Here is a 19,077-nt window from a genome sequence, read left to right as displayed (position 1 = left end):
CCTGTTCACTCTGATGGTAGTTTCTTTTGCTGTGCAGAAGCTCTTTAGTTTAATTAGATCCCATTTGTCAATTTTGGCTTCTGTTGCCATTGCTTTTGGTGTTTTAGATGTGAAGTCCTTGCCCATGCCTATGTCCTGAATGGTATTGCCTAGGTTTTCTTCTAGGGTTTTTATGGTTTTAGGTCTAACATTTAAGTCTTTCATCCATCTTGAATTAATTTTTGTATAAGGTGTAAGGAAGGGATCCAGTTTCAGCTTTCTCCGTATGGCTAGCCAGTTTTCCCAGCACCATTTATTAAATAGGGAATCCTTTCCCCATTTCTTGTTTTTGTCAGGTTTGTCAAAGATCAGATGGTTGATGTATGGTATTATTTCTGAGGGCTCTGTTCTTTTCCATTGGTCTATATCTCTGTTTTGGTACCAGTACCATGCTGTTTTGGTTACTACAGCCTTGTAGTATAGTTTGAAGTCAGGTAGTGTGATGCCTCCAGCTTTGTTCTTTGGGCTTAGGATTGTCTTGGCAATGCGGGCCCTTTTTTGGTTCCATATGAACTTTAAAGTAGTTTTTTTCCAATTCTGTGAAGAAAGTCATTGGTAGCTTGATGGGGATGGCATTGAATCTATAAATTACCTTGGGCAGTATGGCCATTTTCACAATGTTGATTCTTCCTACCCGTGAGCATGGAACGTTCTTCCATTTGTTTGTGTCCTCTTTTATTTCATTGAGCAGTGGTTTGTAGTTCTCTTTGAAGAGGTCCTTCACATACCTAAGTTGGATTCCTAGGTATTCTGTTATCTTTGCAGCAATTGTGAGTTCACTCATGATTTGGCTCTCTGTTTGTCTGTTATTGGTGTATAAGAATGGTTGTGATTTTTGCACATTGATTTTGTATTCTGAGACTTTGCTGAAGTTGCTTATCAGCTTAAGGAGATTTTAGACTGAGACGATGGGGTTTTCTAAATATACAATCATGTCATCTGCAAACAGGGACAATTTGACTTCCTCTTTTCCTAATTGAATACCCTTTATTTCTTTTTCCTGCCTGATTGCGCTTGCCAGAACTTCCAACACTATGTTGAATAGGAGTGGTGAGAGAAGGCATCCCTGTCTTGTGCTGGTTTTCAAAGGGAATGCTTCCAGTTTTTGCCCCTTCAGCATGATATTGGCTGTGGGTTTGTCAAAAATAGCTCTTATTATTTTGCAATACATCCCATCAATACCTAATTTATTGAAAATTTTTAGCATGAAGGGCTGTTGACGTTTGTCAAAGGCCTTTTCTGCATCTATTGAGATAATCATGTGGCTTTTGTCTTTGGTTCTTTTTATATGCTGGATTACGTTTATTGATTTGCATACATTGAACCAGCCTTGCATCCCAGGGATGAAGCCCACTTGATCATGGTGGATAAGCTTTTTGATGTGCTGCTGGATTCTGTTTGCCAGTATTTTATTGAAGATTTTTGCATCAATATTCATCAGGGATATTGGCCTAAAATTCTCTTTTTTTGTTGTGTCTGCCAGGCTTTGGTATCAGGATGATGCTGGTCTCATAAAATGAATTAGGGAGGATTCCCTCTTTTCTATTGATTGGAATAGTTTCAGAAGGAATGGTACCAGCTCCTCCTTGTACATCTGGTAGAATTCAGCTGTGAGTCTCTCTGGTCCTGGACTTTTTTTGGTTGGTAGGCTATTAATTATTGCCTCAATTTGAGAGCCTGTTATTGGTCTGTTCAGGGATTCAACTTCATCCTGGTTTAGTCTTGGGATGGTGTATGTGTCCAGGAATGTATCCATTTCTTCTAGATTTTCTAGTTTATTTGCGTAGAGGTGTTTATAGTATTCTCTGATGGTAGTTTGTATTTCTGTGGGATCAGTGGTGATATCCCCTTTCTCATGTTTTATGGCATCTATATGATTCTTCTCTCTTTTCTTCTTTATTAGTCTTGCTAGTGGTCTATTAATTTTTTGATCTTTTCAAAAAAACCAGCTCCTGGATTCATTGATTTTTTTTGAAGGGTTTTTTGTGTCTCTATCTCCTTCAGTTCTGCTCTGCTCTTAGTTATTTCTTGTCTTCTGCTAGCTTTTGAATGTGTTTGCTCTTGGTTCTCTAGTTCTTTTAATTGTGATGTTAGGGTGTCAATTTTAGATCTTTCCTGCTTTCTCTTGTGGGCATTTAGTGCTATAAATTTCCCTCTACAGAGTGCTTTAAATGTGTCCCAGACATTCTGGTATGTTGTGTCTTTGTTCTCATTGGTTTCAAAGAACATCTTTAGTTCTGCCTTCATTTCGTTATGTACCCAGTAGTCATTCAGGAGCAGGTTGTTCAGTTTCCACATAGATGAGTGGATTTGAGTGAGTTTCTTAATCCTGAGTTCTAGTTTGATTGCACTGTGGTCTGAGAGACAGTTTGTTATAATTTCTATTCTTTTACATTTGCTGAGGAGTGCTTTACTTCCAACGATGTGGTCAATTTTGGAATAAGTGTGATGTGGTGCTGAGAAGAATGTATATTCTGTTAATTTGGGATGGAGAGTTCTGTAGATGTCTATTAGGTCCACTGGGTGCAGAGCTGAGTTCAATTCCTGGATATCCTTGTTAACTTTCTGTCTTGTTGATCTGTCTAATGTTGACATTGTGGTGTTAAAGTCTCCCATTATTATTGTATGGGAGTCTAAGTCTCTTTGTAGGTCTCCAAGGACTTGCTTTATGAAGCTAGGTGCTCCTGTATTGGGTGCATATATGTGTAGGATAGTTAGCTCTTCTTGTTGAATTGATCCCTTTACCATTATGTAATGGCCTTCTTTGTCTCTTTTGATCCTTGTTGGTTTAAAGTCTGTTTTATCAGAGACTAGGATTGCAATCCCTGCCTTTTTTGTTTTCCATTTGCTTGGTAGATCTTCCTCCATCCTTTTATTTTGAGCCTATGTGAGTCTCTGCACGTGAGATGGGTCTCCTGAATACAGCACACTGATGGGTCTCGACTCTTTATCCCATTTGACAGTCTGTATCTTTTAATTGGAGTATTTAGCCCATTTACATTTAAGGTTAATATTGTTATGTGTGAATTTGATCCTGTCACTTTGATGTTAGCTGGTTATTTTGCTCTTTAGTTGATGCAGTTTCTTCCTAGCCTCGATGTTCTTTACAATTTGGCATGTTTTTGCAGTGGCTGGTACCGGTTGTTCCTTTCCATGTTTAGTGCTTCCTTCAGGAGCTCTTGTAGGGCAGGCCTGGTGGTGACAAAATCTCTCAGCATTTGCTTGTCTATAAAGGATTTTATTTCTCCTTCACTTATGAAGCTTAGTTGGATATGAAATTCTGGGTTGAAAATTCTTTTCTTTAAGAATGTTGAATATTTGCCCCTACTCTCTTCTGGCTTGTAGAGTTTCTGCCAAGAGATCCGCTGTTAGTCTGATGGGCTTCCCTTTGTGGGTAACCCGACCTTTCTCTCTGGCTGCCCTTAACGTTTTTTCCTTCATTTCAACTTTGGTGAATCTGACAATTATGTGTCTTGGAGTTGCTCTTCTCGAGGAATATCTTTGTGGCATTCTCTGTATCTCCTGAATTTGAATGTTGGCCTGCCTTGCTAGGTTGGGGAAGTTCTCCTGGATAATTCCTGCAGAGTGTTTTCCAACTTGGTTCCATTCTCTCTGTCACTTTCAGGTACACCAATCAGATGTAGATCTCATCTGGTCTTTTCACATAGTCCCATATTTCTTGGAGGCTTTGTTCATTTCTTTTTACTCTTTTTTCTCTAAACTTCTCTTCTCGCTTCATTTCGTTCATTTGATTTTCAATCACTGATACCCTTTCTTCCAGTTGATTGAATTCGCTACTGAAGCTTGTGCGTTCATCACGTAGTTCTTTTGCCATGTTTTTTAGCTCCATCAGGTCATTTAAGGACTTCTCTACATTGGTTATTCTAGTTATCCATTCGTCTAATCTTTTTTCAAGGTTTTTAGCTTCTTTGCAATGGGTTTGAACTTCCTCCTTTAGCTTGGAGTAGTTTGATCGTCTGAAGCCTTCTCTTAACTCGTCAAAGTCATTCTCCATCCAGCTTTGTTCCGTTGCTGGCGAGGAGCTGCGTTCCTTTGGAGGGGGACAGGCACTCTGATATTTAGAATTTTCAGGTTTTCTGCTCTGTTTTTTCCCCATCGTTGTGGTTTTATCTACTTTTGGTCTTTGGTGATGGTGACATACAGGTGGGGTTTTGGTGTGCATGTCCTTTCTGTTTGTTAGTATTCCTTCTAACAGTCAGGACCCTCAGCTGCAGGTCTGTTGGAGTTTGCTGGAGGTCCACTCCAGACCCTGTTTGCCTGGATATCAGCAGCAGAGGCTGCAGAACAGCGAATATTGCTGAACAGCAAATGTTGCTGCCTGATCGTTCCTCTGGAAGCTTTGTCTCAGAGGGGTACCTGGCCGTGTGAGGCGTCAGTCTGCCCCTACTGGAGGGTGCCTGCCAGTTAGGCTACTCGGGGGTCAGGGACCCACTTGAGGGGGCAGTCTGTCCATTCTCAGATCTCAAACTCCATGCTGGGAAAACCACTACTCACTTCAAAGCTGTCAGACAGGGACATTTAAGTCTGCAGAGGTTTCTGCTGCCTTTTGTTCAGTTATGTCCTGCCCCTAGAGGTGGAGTCTACAGAGGCAGGCAGGCCTCCTTGAGCTGTGGTGGGCTCCACCCAGTTCGAGCTTCCTGGCTCTTTTGTTTACCTCCTCAAGCCTCAGCAATGGTGGGCGCCCTCCCCCAGCCTCGCTGCCACCTTGCGGATGGATCTCAGACTGCTGTGCTAGCAATGAGCGAGGTTCCATGGGCGTGGGACCCTCTGAGCCAGGCGCTGGATATAATCTCCTGGTGTGCCATTTGCTAAGACTGTTGGAAAAGCTCAGTATTAGGGTGGGAGTGACTCGATTTTCCAGGTGCTATCCATCACCAATTCCCTTGGCTAGGAAAGGGAATTCCTTGACCCCTTGCACTTCCCGGGTGAGGCGATGCCTCGCCCTGCTTTGGCTCATGCTTGCTCAGTGGGCTGCACCCACTGTCCTGACGCCAGTGTCCGACAAGCCCCAATGAGATGAACCTAGTACCTCAGTTAGAAATTCAGAAATCACCTGTCTTCTGTGTCGCTCAAGCTGGGAGCTGTAGACTGGAGCTCTTCCTATTTGGCCATCTTGGAGCTGCCCAATTATTTGATTTTTATCCTCAGATTGGGAGCTCTTCAAGGGCAAGGCCTGTATCTAATTTACTGTTGCATTTTAAGGTCTAGCTTAGTATCTGTTAGAGTGAGGACATGCAAAGATGTGAAGGAATAATTGAGGATATGTCACCTTACACATCCCCTTCTTCCAGGAATTGCTATTCAGGAGAATTTACACCCATATTTGTCAGCCAGGATCATACACAGGCCTCCTAAAGGAGCAGAGGTCCCACTTCAGTGTCCTGTGGAGAGCTGAAAATGGTGTGTGGCAATGAAGGTTTAAATTAGTACCAGGCTTTTTATTGTTGATGGGGAAAACGTTGACTTCCAGGATTATTTCTGCAGGGGATTGTAGGATTCTATTTTGCTGGCTGGTTTTCATTTTCTTTCTTTGGCTTAAAAACAGGTTCAAGTTGATTGGTTCAGTAGAAACTAGGAGAGATAATAGCCCTACAAGCAGCGAGCAGGATTACTGTGTGATGATGCTGTTGTGTAATCCTTTCAGACATAGGATTGCTATTTGTAGTGATTTTCAGTGATCAGATAAGCCAGTGAAACACCGAATGGCTCCTTTCTTTTCAAATATATTTAATGAAATAGACATGATGTCTTCGTCTATTTGGACTGCTAAAGCAAAAATACAATAAAAGACAGTGTGGTTTATAAACAAAAGAAATCATTTCTCACAGTTCTGGAGGATGGGAAGTCCAAGATCAAGGTGCCAGCAAATTCAGTGCCTGGTGAGCACCTGCTTCTTTCTGCATAGACAGCTATTTTCTTGCTCTGTTTCACATATCTGAAGGGGAAAGGGAGCTCTTAGGGGTCTCCTTTATAAAGGCAATAATCCATTCACCAGAGTTCCACCTTTATGACCTAACCACCTCTCAAGGACCCAGTTTCCTAATGCCATCACACTGGGGCTTAGGTTTCCACATAAGACTTTTGGGGGGACACAGATATTCAGCCTATAGCATATGAGATCATATAAATAGGATAAAACAGTTTCTTTATAGTGTGTGTTTACTATCTTTTGTCAGTTATTCCTGGGTCATTGTTTCTGCCAGATTATTTTACTGATGGTGCAAACTAACCCAACCTACTGTTCACAGACCTGAATGGACTATAGATGTGGTGTACATGGACAGTGACTTTGTCACAGTTGCAGGTTTGTCATTAGATTTCAATGATTCTCTTACCACTTTTTTTTTTTATTGTACTTTAAGTTCTGGGGTACATGTGCAGAACGTGCAGGTTTGTTACATAGGTATACATGTACCATGGTGGTTTGCTGAACCCATCAATCTGTCATCTACATTAGGTATTTCTTCTAATGCTATCCCTCCCCTTGACTTCCACTCCCCTGACAGGACCTGGTGTGTGATGTTCCCCTCCCTGTGTCCATGTGTTCTCTTTGTTCACCTCCCGCTTATGAGTGAGAACATGTGGTGTTTGGTTTTCTGTTCTTGTGTTAGTTTGCTGAGAGTGACGGTTTCCAGCTTCATGTCCTGTAAAGGACATGAACTCTTTCTTTTTTATGGCTGCATAGTATTCCTTGGTGTATATGTACCATATTTTCTTTATTGAATCTATCACTGATGGCATTTTAAGTTGGTTCCAAGTCTTTGCTATTGTGAATAGTGCTGCAATAAACAACATGTGCATGTGTCTTTATAGTAGAATGATTTATAATCCTTTGGGTATATACCCAGTAATGGGATTGCTGCACCAATCGGATCTGGTTCTAGATCCTTGAGGAATCACCACACTGTCTTTCACAATTGTTGAACTAATTTATACTTCCACCAACAGTGTAAAAGCATTCCAATTTCTCCGCATCCTCTCCAGCATCTGTTGTTTCCTGACTTTTTTTTTTTTTTTGAGACGGAGTCTTGCTCTGTCACCCAGGCTGGAGTGTAGTGGCATGATCTCACCTCACTGCAACCTCTGCCTCCTGGGTTCAAATGATTCTCCTTTCTCAGCCTCCTGAGTAGCTGGGATTACAGGCGCATGCCACTACGCCTGGCTAATTTTTGTATTTTTAGTAGAGATGGGGTTTCACCATGTTGGTCAGGCTAGTCTAGAACTCCTGACCTCATGATCCTCACACCTTGGCCTCCTAAAGTGCTGGGATACAGGCATAAGCCACCATGCCCAGCCTGTTTCCTGACTTTTTAATGATTTCCATTCTAACTGGCATGAGATGGTATCCCATTGTGGTTTTGATTTGCATTTCTCTAATTACCAGTGAAGATGAGCTGTTTTTTTTCATATGTTTGTTGGCCGCATAAATGTCATCTTTTGAGAAGTGTCTGTTAATGTCCTTTGCCCGCTTTTTGATGGGGTTGTTTTTTTTTCTTGTAAATTTGTTTAAGTTCCTTGTAGACTCTGGATATTAGCCTTTTGTCAGATGGATAGATTCCAAAAATTTTCTCCCATTTTGTATGTTGCCTGTTCACTCTGATAGTTTCTTTTGCTGTGCAGAAGCTCTTTAGTTTAATTAGATCCCGTTTGTCAATTTTGGCCCTAGTTGCCATTGCTTTTGGTGTTTTAGTCATGAAGTCTTTGCGCATGCAAAGGGATATGTCCTGAATGGTATTGCCTAGGTTTTCTTACAGTGTTGTCATGGTTTTAGGTCTTACATTCAAGTCTTTAATCCATCTTGAGTTAATTTTTGTATAAGGTGTAGGGAAGGGGTCCAGTTTCTGTTTTCTGCATATGGCTAGCCAGTTTTCCCAACAACATTTATTAAATAGGGAATCCTTTCCCCATTGCTTGTTTTTGTCAGGTTTGTCGAAGATCAGTTGGTTGTAGTAGATGTGTGGCGTTATTTCTGGGGCCTCTGTTCTGTTCCATTGGTCTATATATCTGTGTTGGTACCAGTACTATGCTGTTTTCATTACTGTAGCCTTGTAGTATAGTTTGAGGTCAGGTAGCATGATACCTCCAGCTTTGTTCTTTTTGCTTTCGATTGTCTTGGCTGTATGGGCTCTCTTTTGGTTCCATATGAAATTTAGTTTTTTCTAATTCTGCGAAGAAAGTCAATGGTAGCTTGATGGGGATAGGATTGAATCTATAAATTAATTTGGGCAGTATGGCCATTTTCATGATATTGATTCTTCCTTTCCATGAGCATGGTATGTTTTTCCATTTGTTTGTGTCCTCTCCTATTTCGTTGAGCAGTGGTTTGTAGTTCTCCTTGAAGACATCCTTCACATCCCTTGTAAGTTGGATTCCTAGGTATTTTATTGTCTTTGAAGCAATTGTGAATGGGAGTTCACTCATGATTTGGCTCTCTGTTTGTCTGTTATTGGTGTATAGGAATGCTTGTGATTTTTGCACATTGATTTTGTATCCTGAGACTTTGCTGAAGTTGCTTATCAGCTTAAGGAGATTTTGGGCTGAGACAATGGGGTTTTCTAAATATACAATCATGTCATCTGCAAACAGGGACAACTTGACTTCCTCTTTTCCTAATTGAATACCCTTTATTGCTTTCTCTTACCTGATTGCCCTGGCCAGAACTTCCAATACTATGTTGAATAGGAGTGGTGAGAGAGGGCATCCTTATCTTGTGCTGGTTTTCAAAGGGAATGTTTCCAGTTTTTGCCCATTCAATATGATACTGGCTGTGGGTTTGTCATAAATAGCTCTTGTTATTTTGAGATACATTCCATCAATACCTAGTTTATTGAGAGTTTTTAGCATGAAGGGGTGTTGAATTTTATCAAAGGCCTTTTCTACATCGTGGTTTTTGGCATTGGTTCTGTTTATGTGATGGATTGCATTTATTGATTTGCATATGTTGAACTAGCCTTGCATCCCAGGGATGAAGCTGACTTGATCATGGTGGATAAGCTTTTTGGTGTGCTGCTGGATTCAGTTTGCCAGTATTTTGTTGAGGATTTTTGCATTGATGTTCATCAGGGATATTGGTCTAAAATTTTCTTTTTTTGTTGTGTCTCTGCCAGGTTTTGGTATCAGGATGATGCTGGCCTCATAAAATGAGTTAGGGAGGGGTCCCTCTTTTTCTTTTGTTTGGAATAGTTTCCGAAGGAATGATACCAGCTTCTTTTTGTAGCTCTGGTAGAATTCGGCTGTGAATCTATGTGGTCCTGGGCTTTTCTTGGTTGGTAGGCTGTTAATTACTGCCTCAATTTCAGAATTTGTTATTGGCCTATTCAGGGATTCGACTTCTTCCTTGTTTAGTCTTGGGAGGGTGTAGGTGTCCAGAAATTTATTCATTTCTTCTAGATTTTCTAGTTTATTTGCATAGAGGTGTTTATAGTATTCTCTGATGGTAGTTTGTATTTCTGTGGGATTGGTGGTGATATCCCCTTTATCATTTTTTATTGCATCTATTTGATTCTTTTCTCTTTTCTTCTTTGTTAGTCTAGCTAGCACTCCATCTGTTTTGTTAATCTTTTCAAAAAACCAGCTCCTGGATTCATTGATTTTTTTTGTAGGGTTTTTCATGTCTCTAACTCCTTCAGTTCTGCTGTGATCTTAGTTATTTCTTGTCTTCTGCTAGCTTTTGAATTTGTTTGCTCTTGCTTCTCTAGTTCTTTTAATTGTGATGTTAGGGTGTTGATTTTAGATCTTTCCTGCTTTCTCCTGTGGGTATTTAGTGCTATAAATTTCCCTTTAAACACTGCTTTAGCTGTGTCCCAGAGATTCTGGTACATTGTGTCTTTGTTCTCATTGGTTTCAAAGAACTTATTTATTTCTGCCTTAATTTCGTTATGTACCTAGTAGTCATTCAGGAGCAGGTTGTTCAGTTTTCGTGTAGTTGTGCAGTTTTAAGTGAGTTTCTTAATTTTGAGTTCTAATTTGATTGCACTCTGGTCTGAGAGACTGTTATGATTTCCTTTCTTTTGTATTTGCTGAAGAGTGTTTTACTTCCAATTATGTGGTCAATTTTAGAATATGTGCAATGTAGTCCTGAGAAGAATGTATATTCTGTTGATCTGGCATGGAGAGTTCTGTAGATGTCTATTAGGTCCACTTGGTCCAGAGCTGAGTTCAAGTCCTGAATATCCTTGTTAATTTTCTGTCTTGTTGATCTGCCTAATATTGACAGTGGGGTGTTAGTCTCCCACTATTATTGTGTGGGAGTCTAAGTCTCTTTGTAGGTCTCTAAGAACTTGCTTTAGGCCGGGCGCGGTGGCTCACGCCTGTAATCCCAGCACTTTGGGAGGCCGAGGCGGGTGGATCACGAGGTCAGGAGATCGAGACCATCCTGGCTAACAAGGTGAAACCCCATCTCTACTAAAAATACAAAAAAAAATTAGCCGGGCGCGGTGGCGGGCGCCTGTAGTCCCAGCTACTCGGGAGGCTGAGGCAGGAGAATGGCGTGAACCCAGGAAGCGGAGCTTGCAGTGAGCCAAGATCGCGCCACTGCAGTCCGCAGTCCGGCCTGGGCGACAGAGCGAGACTCCGTCTCAAAAAAAAAAAAAAAAAAGAACTTGCTTTACGAATATGGGTGCTCCTGTATTGGGGGAATATATATTTAGGATAGTTAGCTCTTCTTGTGGTATTGATCCCTTTACCATTATGTAATGCCCTTCTTTGTCTATTTTGATCTTTGTTGGTTAAAAGTGTGTTTTATCAGAGACTAGGATTGCAACCTCTGCTCTATTTTGCTTTCCATGTGCTTGGTAAATCCTCTTTCCCTTTATTTTGAGCCTCTGTGTGTCTTTGCACGTGAGATGGGTCTCCTGAATACAGCACACCGATGGGTCTTGACTTTTATCCAGTTAGCCAGTCTGTGTCTTTCAACTGTGGCATTTAGCCTGTTTACATTTAAGGTTAATATTGTTATGTGTGAATTTGATCCTGTCATTATGATGCTAGCTGGTTATTTTGCCCATTAGTTGATGCAGTTTCTTCATAGTGTCAATGGTCTTTACAATTTGGTATGTTTTTGCAGTGGCTGGTACTGGTTTTTCCTTTCCTTATTTAGTGCTTCCTTCCGGAGCTTTTGTAAGGAGGGCCTGGTGGTGACAAAATCCCTCAGCATTTGCTTGTCTGTAAAGGATTTTATTTCTCCTTTGCTTATGAAACTTAGTTTGGCTGGCTATGAAATTCTGGGTTAAATTCTTTTCTTTAAGAATGTTGAGTATTTGCCCACACTCTCTTCTGGCTTGTAGGGTTTCTGCAGAGAGACCTGCTGTTTGTCTGATGGGCTTCCCTTTGTGGGTACCCTGACCTTTCTCTCTGGCTGCCCTTAACATTTTTTCCTTCATTTCAACTTTGGTGAGTCTGACGATTATGTGTCTTGGGGTTGCTCTTCTCGAGGAGCATCTTTATGGTGTTCTCTCTATTTCCTGAATTTGAATATTGGTCTATCTTGCTAGGTTGGGGAAGTTCTCTGGGATAATATCCTGAAGTATGTTTTCCAGCTTGGTTTCATTCTCTCTGTCACTTTCAGGTACACCAATTAAAGGTAGGTTTTGGTCGTTTCACATAGTCCCATATTTATGTAGGCTTCGTTAGTTCCTTTGCTTTCTTTTTTCTCTAATCTTGTCTTCATGCTTTATTTCATTAAGTTGATCTTCAGTCTCTGATATCCTTTTCTTCTGCTTGGTCGATTCGGCTATTGATACTTGTGTATGTTTCACAAAGTCCTTGTGCTGTGTTTTTCAGCTCCATCAGGTCATTTATGTTCTTCTCTAAACTATTCTAGTTAGCAGTTCCTGTAACCTTTTATCAAGGTTCTTAGCTTGCTTGCATTGGGTTAAAACATGCTCCTTTAGCTTGGAGGAGTTTGTTATTACCCACCTTCTGAAGTCTACTTCTGTCAATTCGTCAAACTCATTCTCCATCCAGTTTTGTTCCCTTGCTGCAAGGAGTTGTGATCCTTTGGAGGATAAGAGGCATTCTGGTTTTTGGAATTTTCATCCTTTTTGCGCTTGTTTTTCCTCATCTTCCCAGATTTATCTACCTTTGATCTTTGATGCTGATGACCTTTGGTTGGGGTTTTTGCATGGGCCTCCTTTTTATTGAGGTTATTGCTTTCTGTTTCTTTGTTTTCCTTCTAACAATCAGGCCCCTCTTCTGCAGGTCTGCTGGAGTTTGCTGGAGGTCCACTCCAGACCCTCTTTGCCTGAGTATCACCAGCGGAGACTGCAGAACAGTAAAGATTGCTGCCTGCACCTTCCTCTGGAAGCTTCATCCCAGAGGGGTACCTGCCAGGATGCCAGCTGGAGATCTCCTGTATGAGGTGTCTGTCGATCCCTGCTGGGAGCTATCTCCCAGTCAGGAGGCATAGGGGTCAGGGACCCACTTGAGGAGGCAGTCTGTCCCTTAGCAGAGTTTGAGTGCTGTGTGGGGAGATCTGCCGCTGTCTTCAGAGCTGGCACGCAGGAATGTTTAAGTCTGCTGAAGCTGTGCCCACAGCTGTCCCTTCCCTAAGATGCTCTGTCCCAGGGAGATGGGAGCTTTATCTATAAGTCACTGACTGGGGCTGCTGCCTTTCTTTCAGAGACACCCTGCTCAGAGAGGAGGAATCTATAGAGGCAGTCTGGCTATAGCAGCTTTGCTGCGCTGTGGTGGGCTCCGCCCAGTCCAAGCTTCCCCTTGGCTTTGTTTATACTGCGAGGGAAAAACCGCCTACTCAAGCCTCAGTAATGGGGGATGCCCCTCCCTCCACCAAGCTTGAGCATCCCAGGTCGACTTCAGACTGCTGTGTTGGCACTGAGAATTTCAAGTCAGTGGATCTTAGCTTGCTGGGCTCCATGGGGGTGGGATCGGCTGAGCAAGACCACTTGGCGCCCTGGCTTCAGCCACCTTTCTAGGGGAGTGAACGGTTCTGTCTTGGCATTCCAGGTACTACTCAGTTGGAAATGTAGAAATCACCTGCCTTCTGGGTGGTCTTGCTGGGAGCTGCAGACTGGAGCTGTTCCTATTTGGCCATCGGGCCAGCCAGGACCCTCTTACCACTTCTAATGTAAATTTGGTGGCGATCTAAACTTATTTTGGAAGTCCTTTAGAAATAGTGCAAGTATATTTTTTATGGTCATATGGAGTGTTTCTCTGATAAAACCATAGAATTTACCACAGGCTGGTTTTATAACAATTCTTGGCCTCGTTGTTGTCCTTAATTTTTTTGAATACTTCTATCGGAATGGTTAATGCCATTTAACTTCGGCCTTGTGGTAGTTAATCTGTATGCATTCACAGAACATTTTGGCCTCATGGTAGTTCAGAGTCAAAATCAGTGAGGAAAGTAAGAAAAATAGCTTTACTTTTGCAATTTATTTTTTTAAAAATCAACATTTATGAGTAAACAAAGTAGAAGAAACCATGATTGCCTCACTGGGATTTGTCTTGATGCTAAACCTGTTAATCGTTTGGAAACAGCCAAACCTGGGAGTTACCTTCAGTGGCAAAATCTTACAAAAGCTGAGGTGGTTGGTATGTAATAAAGTGTTCTTGTTTGAATTCCTTTGTTCTGTCAGAATATAGTTCAACAATGATTAAGAGACTCCAGTAACAAAGATTTCTTTCTACAGAGTGGTAAGTAAAGATAGATCTGTACTTACCCACTTGTCAACTTGAACTGCATTACAGCAGGTAACTGATCAGATATTCACTGAAGAAAGATAGAGGTGACAAGTTTAAGTATAGATGCAACTACAGCAAATGTAAGTTTGCTTTTTAAGATAAGGAGGCAGCTATCAGGTGCTACTTCTGGGATAGCACCATGAACCCACTCCTTAATGAAATAAGCATAACTTCTAAAAACTATAAAAAAAAGCCCAGTGGTTTAAAGTCTGGAAATTGTCCTAAGGACATACAGCAACTGAAAAAACAATTACTTAAAAATTACTTAAGAGTAAATCTGCTAAAACTTGGTAAGAACAGCAAGATTCTGTGGCATTTTAATCATAACCAGTTTCTTCCTTCCTGCTCGCAGTTCAGCTTGACAGAAGCTCTGCTTCAGGTCAGTGTGGCCAAGAAGATCAGGTTCCCTCTCAAGGTCCTGATCAAGAGATAGTATTTCACCAGGAGGGGCAGGCTTTCAAAATTTCTTGTTCCTTCAAATCCTGACTTGAAGAGGTTACATTACTGGTGACGGGAGACACCAGTAATCTGGTGGTGCAGTGGCTGGGTGGGGGAAGCTCCCTTTCTTCATTCAGCTCCCACTCATAGGGCATAGGATCTGCTACTCATAGGGCAGAGGATCTACCCTAGGTGTGGCAGGATGAGAATACTGGGGCGCCAATAACCCTTACTGCATTTCACTCATAAGGCAGATGTTCCAAGCCAGGAATGGGAAGTCAAGAGACTAGAAATCTCCATACCTGCCCAGTACTTTGGGTAGTGGCTCAGAGATTTTATCCAAGGGGGAGGTAGTCCATACAAAAGTAGAGCTCGGAAACTTCCCCAAAGGGACTGACTTTATCTAAAACATTACGGGGAAGTTTAGGCTCAAGGGTGCTGTCAAAACCAATGGAAATTTTGGTGGTAAGCAAATAAGAGGAGGCTGGTAGCTCCTCTAAATTAAGAGTAACAAGCTAATCCAAGGACAGCTAGTTTACCAGTAAGAACTGGAGAGAGACAGATAAGAGTCCTCCTCAGGTGACAACAAATCTCTGAGACTGGTCTGAAAAACTATCACTGTCCAAATTTAATTTAGACTGTGGAGCAATTTATGTCCAAGGACATTGTCAAAAACAATAGAGCCATCAGCTGGTAATTAGTGGATCCTAACAACCGAGTGTGATATGAAATGAGGCAGATATTTTAACAGAAATTAGATAAAGGAACAGTCAAGGAGAACCCTGCTAAAATCATTGTCATTTCAAAGGCTTCATCTCTGTTAGTGAAATAGACTTAACTAAAATAGCCTATTTAAGTTTCTAAACAAACAAGCAAAACATATAAAAACAAGTACAGACAGGGGAGGATGGGAATGAGTATCTAGAATTGTGACAATATGTTACCAAAAAAATCCAGTTTTTGACAAAAAAATATAAGTCATGCAGAGAAATAGGAAAATGTGTCCCCTCCACAGGGCGGAAAAAAAAAATCAGGCAACAACAACCGTTTGTGAGAGGACCCAGCTGTCAGATTTAAAAATAATTTCAAAACTATCATAAGTATGTCCAAAAAACTAAAGGAAAAAGCCATGTTTAAAAAAGTACAAAAAGGTGTGATAACAATATCTCAACAAATAAAGAATATCAATCATAAGATAGAAATTACAAAAATAACCAAATGAAAATTTTAGAGTTAAAAAGTATAGTAATTGAAATGAAAAATTCATTAGAGGGGCTCAACAGTAGATTTGAACTGACAGGAGAATTCGTAAACTTGAAGATAGATTGTTAGAGATTATAGGATTTGAAGAACAGAGAGAAAAAATAATTAAAAAAAAAAGAAGAGAACCTCTGGGGAATATGGGATACCAATAATCACACCCATATATGTGTAATGAGAGTACTAAAAGAAACAAAGAGGAAAAGAAGCTATGTTTCTATATCGGTTTAATATAAAGAGATATACGTGATACATACATATGCATATAGAAAGCTAACTTCTGCAGGCTTAATAGTAGACTCTGTAGACTTAAAAAATTTGAAGAAATATAGTTAAAAATTCCCCAGATTTGATGAAAATCACCAATCTGCACATTCAAGAAGCTCAACAAACTTCAAGTAGGATACAGTCTAAGATATCCACACTCATACACATTAAAATAAAAATGCTGAAAGCCAAAGACTGAAGAGAATGTTGATATAAGAGATAACAAGTGTTAGGGAGGATCAGGAAAAAAGGGAGCTCTTGTACTGCTGGTGAAAATGTAAATTGGTACAACCATTGTGGAAAACACTATGGAGTGTTTTCAAAAAATTAAAAATAGAACTACCATATGATCTAGCAATCTCACTTCTGAGTATATATTCAAAGAAAATGAAATCAGTATGTTAGAGATATTTGCACTCGCATATTCAGGGAAGTGTTATTCACAATAGCCAACTCTGAGAGGAAAAAAATGAAAGTATTTTTTTTCTGTTCTCTCAACAACGATTAACACAGAAAACTTGTGTGACCACGAAATATGTGAAGATTTCTCTCCATGAGCAAACATGCAATCAGTTCTTCAGTGGATACCAGCTGGGTGTCTTCTAATTCAGCTCCAACACTATTCACTTGGGAATATTTTTACATCCTACAGATTGAGGGCTCAGACCCACAAGACTGTACCTCACTTCCAATGCCAATCTCAAGCTTCAGCTCGTTTTACCTGTGCATCTGACTGATAGTTGTAAATTGGAGATCCCACGATTTCCTCTTTGGGTTTTGTTAGTTTGCTAGAGTAGCACACATAACTTAGGAAAACACTTGCTTTGTTTGTTTGTTTGTTTTATTTTAAAGAATACTGCAAAGAATATAGATGAAGAGATGCATAGCGTAGGTATGGGAAGGGGTGTGGAGCTTCTGTGCTCGGAGTTTGCCACTCTCCAGGAACCTCCACATGTTCAGCTCTCTGGAAGCTCTCCATACCCTTTCTTTTGGGCCTTTTATGGAGACTTCATTGGATAGGCATTATTGACACTTGGGTAGAAATGCGATTGGACAAGAAAACATGAAAACATGACCTCAAACACAAGGCCAGCAGAGAATGACCTTGTATTAATAGACTGAAGGAGGAAACCAAGTGTGACCTCTCCAGATTATTCTTGGCCTCTCTGCACATCACTTTTTTTTTTCCAGGGTATGGGGCAAGACTTTTTCCGAAATGGAGGTCTTATGACCTACAAACAGACAAGGTAAGTCAGAGAATTTCTCTATTGCTCACTCCAAGACAGAAAGGTGACTGACGGAAGATAAGAGTGTATTTTTAGTTTCTACGGCCTGCCTTGGGGAGAAATAACAAGGGCTGTGGGAGCTATGAGCCAAGAACTGTGTACACAAACCAATATACATACATATCTACACATATACATATATATAATATCACAGTAAGTTATGGACACAACCTATGTGTCTGTAGATAGATGAATGGATAAAGAAAATGTGATGTACATATATACAATGGAATATTATTCAGCATTAAAAAGAAAGAACTCTGCCATTTGCTACAACAAGAATGAAACTTGAGGGGATTTATGCTATGTGAAATAAGTCAGACAGAGAAAGACAAATACTGCATAATCTCACTTACATGTGGAATCTAAAAATGTCAATCAATGTAGACTGATGATTGCCAGGGGCTGGGGAGAGGGAGTGTGAAGGAAATGAAAAGATGTTGCTCAATTGGCATACATTTGCATGATTGAATAAGTTCTGGAGATCTAATGTACAGTATGGTGACTTTAGTTAACAATGCTGTATTGAATACTTGAAATTTGCTAAGAAAGTAGATCTTAAGTTTGTTCCCACCACACACACACACACATACACACACATACACAATAGTAATTGTGTGAGGTGATGAATATATTAGCTTGATTGTGATAATCATTTCACAATGTGTGTGCATATCAAATCATCACATTGTCTAACTTAAATATATACAATTTTGTCCATTAATAAAGCTGGAAGAAAAAGAGAAAATTATGAAAGCATTGAGAGAAAAATGCTTTATTATATACAATGGAACATCAATAAGATTAACAGCTTATGTATCATCAGAAGCAATAGAAGCCTGGCCAGGCGCCATGGCTCACGCCTGTAATCCCAGCACTTTGGGAGGCCAAGGCAGGCAGATCACTTGAGGTCAGGAGTTCGAGACCAGCCTGGCCAACATAGCAAAACCTTGTCTCTACTAAAAATACAAAAATTAGCCGGTGTGCCTGTAATCCAAGCTCCCTGTGAGGCTGAGGCAGAAGAATAGCTTGAACCTGGGAGGTAGAGGTTGCAGTGAGCGGATATTGCATAACTGCACTCCAGCCTGGGCAACACAGCGAGACCCAAAACAAACAACCAAGCAACCAACCAACCAACCAAAAGAAAGAAGTTGTCCTAATTCAGTAATGCTAAAGCACATAAATGAGAGCCTTATAAATCTGGAGCTCCAGAAGGGAACTTCCAGATATAGTCAATTATGTGTTAATACTTGCTAATCCTCGGTACATTGCAGACATCAGTAGTCCATCACAATTCTCTTTCCCTTTCAACCCAGTCTTGGCCTCAGAATAGTCACAAGCAACCATCCAGGAAGCCACTACCAGTCAATCAGAGTTTGCATAAGAGATGAAGTACAATATTTACCATTCAGCCTCATTTCACAGGTGAGGAAGTCAGGGTCTGGTAGCCACATAGAGTTGGAGGCAGACATAGAGGTAGCACCCAAATTTCCTGACATGACCCCAGTCAGATTTTGTTCAGAGGCAGCCAACATCAGAGGTCCTTTTAAATTTCTCTCTTGGGAGCTTTTAAGTTTTAATGATCAACAAACTTTGCTTGTCTTATTCCATATGAACAAAGAGCTGTAGGACTGGAGCATTCATGCTTAAAACAGAATGATTAGCACTGAGACAGGTTGCTATACATATATATATATATATTTATATATATGTATATATTTATATATATATATAATTTTTTTTTAAACCCTCACTTACATGTCAGGTTTCTCTGGGATCTCCCTTGGGGTTGAAGCTAGGTTCCTGAACACACACCTCTTAGGCTTCCTGTAAGGATGCAGACTTGGCTGAGCTGAGGAAATGGCTTCCTGCCATTCTCCCCCTAACACAGAGGCAGCCAGCTGTCGAGACTAAGCATGACTTGTCCCCGAGAGAAAGTTCTAAACTTCCATGGGGAAGGTCTCTCATCTGTCTCAAGTTCAGAAGGTAGAGCTAGCCAGACCAATAGATGTCTCAGGTTAGGAACTATAGAACATGTGTACTTGTCTTTTTAGGCCTGACAACT

General features: G+C 40.7%; 1 annotated feature.

Moving 5' to 3' along the window:
• Positions 4,587–4,748: a silencer, noted in NCBI's record as "fragment chr15:55435814-55435975 (GRCh37/hg19 assembly coordinates)". NCBI's record gives its function as "represses an EF-1alpha promoter that drives an FKBP-Casp9 reporter gene in an ReSE screen in K562 erythroleukemia cells {active_cell/tissue: K562}" and the evidence as "EXISTENCE:reporter gene assay evidence [ECO:0000049][PMID:32094911]".

This window comes from Homo sapiens, chromosome 15, assembly GCF_000001405.40.
Source record: "Homo sapiens chromosome 15, GRCh38.p14 Primary Assembly".
In the NCBI taxonomy this organism is placed as follows: Eukaryota; Metazoa; Chordata; class Mammalia; order Primates; family Hominidae; genus Homo; species Homo sapiens.
This window is presented reverse-complemented; position numbering and strand designations above follow the sequence as displayed.